The sequence below is a fragment of the Homo sapiens genome, chromosome 13 (assembly GCF_000001405.40).
Source record: "Homo sapiens chromosome 13, GRCh38.p14 Primary Assembly".
NCBI lineage: Eukaryota > Metazoa > Chordata > Mammalia > Primates > Hominidae > Homo > Homo sapiens.
The window spans coordinates 37,874,736-37,880,836 of record NC_000013.11 but is presented as its reverse complement, the minus strand read 5'-3'; positions in this window follow the sequence as shown (position 1 = coordinate 37,880,836).

The following is a 6,101-nucleotide window of genomic DNA, read 5'->3' as shown; positions in this document are numbered from 1 at the left end:
TAGTGAAAAGTAACATTTAGCAGATGAAAATTCATCTTAAATAATCTCAATCAATGCAGCTCATGAATGCTGTAGAACTCACCAAGTTAAAGAGTCATCAGTGAGACCAGGCATGGTGGCTCATGCTTGCAATCCCAATACTTTGTAAGGCCAAGGTGGGAGGATTGCTTAAGCCCAAGAGTTTGAGACGAGCCTAGGTGACAAAGTACACCCCATCTCTACAAAAATTTAAGAAAGAATTAGCGAGGTGTGCTGGTGTGTACCTGTGGTCATAGCTACTTGGGAGGCTGAGGCAGGAGGATCACTTGATTCTCGGAGTTTGAGGCTGCAGTGAGACATGATCATGCCCCTGCACTGAAGGTTGGGTGACAGAATAAGTCCCTGTCTCAAGAAACAAAGAAATAAAAACAAATAGAAAACCAGAAGAAAAGGAGTTATCAGTGAAACAAAAAGACAAGAAATACAATACAGATGTGGTACTTATTTCTAGGAATATGGCTCATAATTTAAGTGCTCGATAACATTGTAAGTGTTAGCCTTGCATAATTAAAAAGCCTAATATATTTTTGTTTGTTTTGTGGAGATTAAGAGTATGGGATAAAAAGAATAAGAGAAAAAATCTTCCAATGCTATGTGATGGATTCTTGAGGCATAAGATAGACCTATTAATGATGGCATTATACACAGAATGCGTCGTGTTCAAAAATATATCTCCAAGAGTATGAATAAAAATAAAAATAAGGTTTTCTGTAAGCTATTTGATGATTCAAATAAAGGTTCCAATGACAACCAAGAAACTTATTTTGAAATTGCAAGTGAAGAGTTTGAAACAAGTTATTTCACAAAATATGAGACCAGAAGAAAGTGGCATTTCTAAATATTTTATATTATATGATTTGTAAATTTATTGACAGGTAAATTTATAAATTGAATATCATAAGTGAATACTTTTCAATTTTATCTATGTGGTTTACATTCTAGTTGACCAAAACAATTATTTTCTAACAGAAAAATCGAGTTTCAGATTGTATTTAAGATTGTGCACATGTACCCTAGAACTTAAAGTATAATAAAAAAAAAAATATATATATATATAAAATTGTCATGTATTTGGATCTCTATAATATTCTGGTCATATGTTTTTGAATACCTTTTTTTGCTAAATTGAGTTGGTAGACTGAGAATAATACTTGCTATAGTAGATATTCTTTTATAAATGAAAGACTAAATTTAAAGAACAATTAATTAAAATTCTTAAGCTGATGTAATTAGCAAGATTTGAATTTAGCACTACTGGCTTTAGCGTTCATGTAAAATAATTAATACATGTTTTCTTGACTTCTTGAAAAATTAACATCTATTGAGATGGTAAAACAATGACAAAATATGAACTCAGTAAATATCAAATGGATGGAAAAAGCTAAGCCTATTACATGGAAATTCAGAAGCAAAAGAAGCTATTTTAGTTTGGGGTCTGCCAACATGAACTAAATACATGGAGAGACAAATCTCCAAGCAAAGGGTTTAATTGGAATAATATATAAAAATTGCAATTCGGGACATACACACACAGAGACCAGAGTGGCTGCTGATGTGTCTGAAGAACAAAGGTAAATGCTGGCTTTTTATAGGAGAGGAGCGGATGGTTGTGCAAGCTAAGTTGTTTTGACAGAAAGTTTATTGGTGCCAGTAGTGTCTGGCAGGAGGTAGAGAGTTCTAATTGGTGAGTGGCAGCAGTTACTAGGTAAAACTTGCAATCTGAAAGTCATAGCAGGCCATTGTGATTTCCGATTGGGCTTGCATGACAGCTGCTGGAGTAGGTATTTGTACTTCAGTGCTTTTCCCTATGCCCCCACAACTCTATTTTAGTTGAGTAGGAGAAAAAAAATGATTCCATTTTGTATAATCAGTTTTCAAGGCTGTCAACAAAGATGTAAGAGGTCCAACTGTCCTGATTTACCCAGGACCCAGAAGTTTCCCCCATGCAGAAATTTCAGCCCTAACACCAGGAATCTGTTGGGAAAACTGGGATGAGATGTTGACTCTACAAAGAGGTGGAATCTTCATAATAATCATCATACAGCAGGGTGATGATTAAGTCAACAAGAATTTGAACATCTTTTTAAGGGAAAGAGCAGAGAAGTCTGTGTTGTAATTGGGATACTGAGAAGAGGATTTCATTCTTTGATGGTGTGTGTAATTGTCAGGAGGAATTTCATTGCTTTTGGGTCAGAAAGAATAAAACAACTGAGGACACTTAGATTTCACCATGGGAAGCAGGGTTGATACACACACATAAATAACACACATTATCGGGCCAGATACCAGGGTTGGCTTTAATGACAAATATTTGATGATTGCTTTAGAAACACTGTGAGCAGTTAACCTCCATAGCGTTATCATATGTTACAGAGAAATACTTAAATGTCCCTTTTATAAATAGAGCTTTTATTTTGCTTTGATTGGTTTTCTCTATTTTTAAAAAAAACATTTATGTTCACAGGAAAACTATACCAGTTGGGCTTATACATTGTGCTGTGGATATTGTCCTTTCAGAAGCTCTTAAAGCAAGTTTCCTGCACTGAGAAGAAGGAATAAAATTTATCTTTATTGAACTCTTATATTGTGTTTTATAAATACTACCAAGTGCAATGCTCATAACAATGAAAGAAATAAAATACTATAAATATGTCAATTTGCTAAACTAAGAATCTGAGTCACAGAATGGTTAAGTTACTCTTGCCCAAGGCCATTTTCATAGAAAGGGGTAAAGACAGGATTTGAACCCAGCTATTCCAATTATAGAGACCACGAATGTGGACACCATATAATGTCAAGTACCTGGGGAAAAAATGAATTAATTTAAAACACTACATGAGAAATAACTAGTAAAAGATATGGAAGTGTGTTACTTCTGAGGACAAATGTATATCTGTGTGTTAAAACCTCAAAATTATTTCTTGAATTAATTAAAAATTCAAAGCTCATTCTATGACATGATTTTCCCTGGTTGTGTGCTGCTGCCTACACAGTGGGAGAAGGCTTTCCAGGATAGTTTGGAAGAATAGACAATCCAGACAATCCAGGGCTGAATTGCTCTTGCAGCTCTGAGCTCTTTAAATTTGCTCTTTTCTCTGCTTAAATTCATGGATAAATTGCAGATCTCTATTCTACTTTGTTCTGCACTGATACATTGCAAAGATTCAACCAAAATAAGCTGTAACCTTCTTGAATAGACCACATTTTTATTAACATTTTGGGAAACATCCTTACCCTCTGTGAAAAATCAGAGTATGAACATATTTTGATGTAAAAGTAAAAATCAAAGGAACATATAGTCTTACCTTTATTTACACAGATTTCTATACCAATCCTATGAAGAAGGTACTATTATTATATTTTCCATTTTAGAAATGAATAAATTGAGGTATAGGGATAAAGCTTTGTGGCCAAAACCATATACCCCCAATAAGTGGCAAAAGTTGAATTCAAACCTAGGAAGTCTGGCTGTAGAATTTTTGTCCTTATCACTCTACTATAGTGCCCCATATCAGCTACTTTGAAAGTCATTTGATCAGTCAGATTTCATTTCCTGAAATACCATTTTATTTGATACTGTATGTAGATGAGAATCATTTCATTTAACATTTATTTATTTCCTTAGAAACTTATATAATCATTGTTTAAAAAATGCAGACCCAGATAAATAAAGACCTGCAATTGGTAAGAAGAAGGACTTTCTCTAAATAATAACATTATGCTTTTTTCTTTTTTGAGAATGGCCTGATTTTAAAAATTAGGTAACATGTTCCAGCCTAAAATGGCATCTGACTAGCAGCAGTTTTTCAAGTCCTCTTAAATTTCCACAAAATTCATGTCAGAAAAAAAGAGATTTCATAAAAAATGTTGCTATTTTGTAGATGTAACTGTTGCTGTATCACCAGAATATAGAAGGATTTCCACTAAGTTCAAATATAATGCAACATGGATTGTAAAATAAAATTGATGTTACACTAGTGGATTGCTTTAGGAATCACGCAAACCTGTCCTCCTATAATCAATAGGAAGGTCTGGTGACCATCTTCATTATCTACTTCCTTTTTCAAAATTAGTATGCGTCTACATTAGTATATATTCAAATCCACTGGGAAAGTGGTCTTCTGCACGTATACTAATTCTACCTTTAGAGGCAACTGAATATCTTTCTTTGGTCTTCTGATGGTACTTACTTCCACTTTAGATCTAGGAAGATATCACAACTTGTGGAAGACAGTAGTTAAAAGAAAGTAAATTGTATGCTATGAAATGTCTCCAGGTTGGAATGGAGAAGATATATGTTAAGATAAGTAGTCTGTATTCGGCATAGAAGTCTTCCTGTTGTACCTGACTGAGTTAGAGAAAATGCCACACTTTGAGACGAATTAAGAGTCAGTTTATTTAGCCGGCGGCCAAGAGATGGCTAATGCTCAAAGTTCTCTCGGCCCAGAAGAAGGGGCTAGATTTTCTTTTATACTTTGGTTTAGAATGGGGAAGGGGGGTCTAGTTAAAACAATTTTACAGAAGTAAAGTAGGCAAAAAAGTTAAAAGGATAAATGGTTACAGGAAAGTAAACAGTTCCAGGTGCAGGGGCTTTAAGACTATTACAAGGTGATAGACGCAGGGCTTTGTGCGTTATCAATCAGATGAATTCCTGGGAACTGCGGATATTGCTCACCACAGTATTTTATAAGTTAATTGCATTCTTGGATGTGCTGGGAGTCAGCTTGCATAAGTTAAGTCCTTGAGGAAGGGGCTGCCAGTGAAAGAGCCAAGATGGAGTCTGTCTGGCTCTCTTAGCGAAGGGAGGGTCAACTCAGGCGAAAACAAGGCTAGGTGATTAAAAGAAAGGGAGAGTTTGAGAACAGGGTTAGTAAAAACAAGGTTGGCCATTATATTCCTATAGCATGGATCACGAGAATGGGGTGAGTGGGTAAACAATTTTTCTATCCTGGGGCCAGCAGACCCTCATTCAACGTTAAGTACATATAATACTGACAGCAGGTAACATTTATTGAGCATAAATATGTGCTCATCCTTGTTGCAAGCACTTTACATGCATTAGCTCATTTCATCTTTGCAATAATGGCTCTCACTAGCTGTATCCAGTTAGACATTGGGAATTGACAAAGGTGCTGCCCAACCCCAGCCTTCCAGCTGTAGTGATTAGTAACTGGCCAACACCTAAAAGGACAGAGAAGGAAACAAATGCAATTTGGGGCCAATTCATAAAAATAAAGGAAGGTATCAGAGGTAAAGAATAGATAGCTTGCAAAGAGGCATTGGCAGAAGAATGTGGTTTATAATAAAGACATGATATCATCAATCAGTATGAAAATGAAGAATTAATTCATTATTTTCCAGTTGTAATAAACCGTACTGGTTTCCTATTTTGTAAAAGAGAAACAGTTAGATCATCACTAAATAATGCATGCTTAAGTTAGTTCCAAATATGTTGGAATTATATCTAATAATAATAATGAGGCAAAACTTACACATTGCGTATTTTGTTTTAATCACTTTTGTAAATGCTTTACCTACAAAAATGCTTTGGTCCTCATAACAAGCCTATGAGGTAGGAACAATTACTTCACTCTTTTACAGATGAGAAAACCAAGTCATGTGGAAGTTCAGTGATATTATCCAAGGTCACACAGCTTTTAAGTGTTCTTATAGCCATCTCAGACTTAATATGTCCGCACGTGAATTCCTAATCTTCTCCCTAAAACCAGTCCTAACTCCTATCTTCTCCATCTTACAATATCCTTTACTCAGAATCATCTGCGTGCTCAAGCCAAAAATCTCATAGCTATGCTTAACTCTTCTTATAGCCTGCATACAAACATTTTGGAAAATTCGGTTCAATCTATCTTCAGACTAGATCTTCAATCCACCTCTACTTTGCACAAATTGGTCAACACCGTATTTCCTGGTTTGTTTCAGTAGGTTCTTAACTGTTCTCCCTGCTTCCACCTTTGCTTCCCCAAGTCTATCCTCACTATAGCGGCAAGAAAAATACTTTACAACATAAATCAGCTCAGCCTACTCCTCAACCTGGAACACTG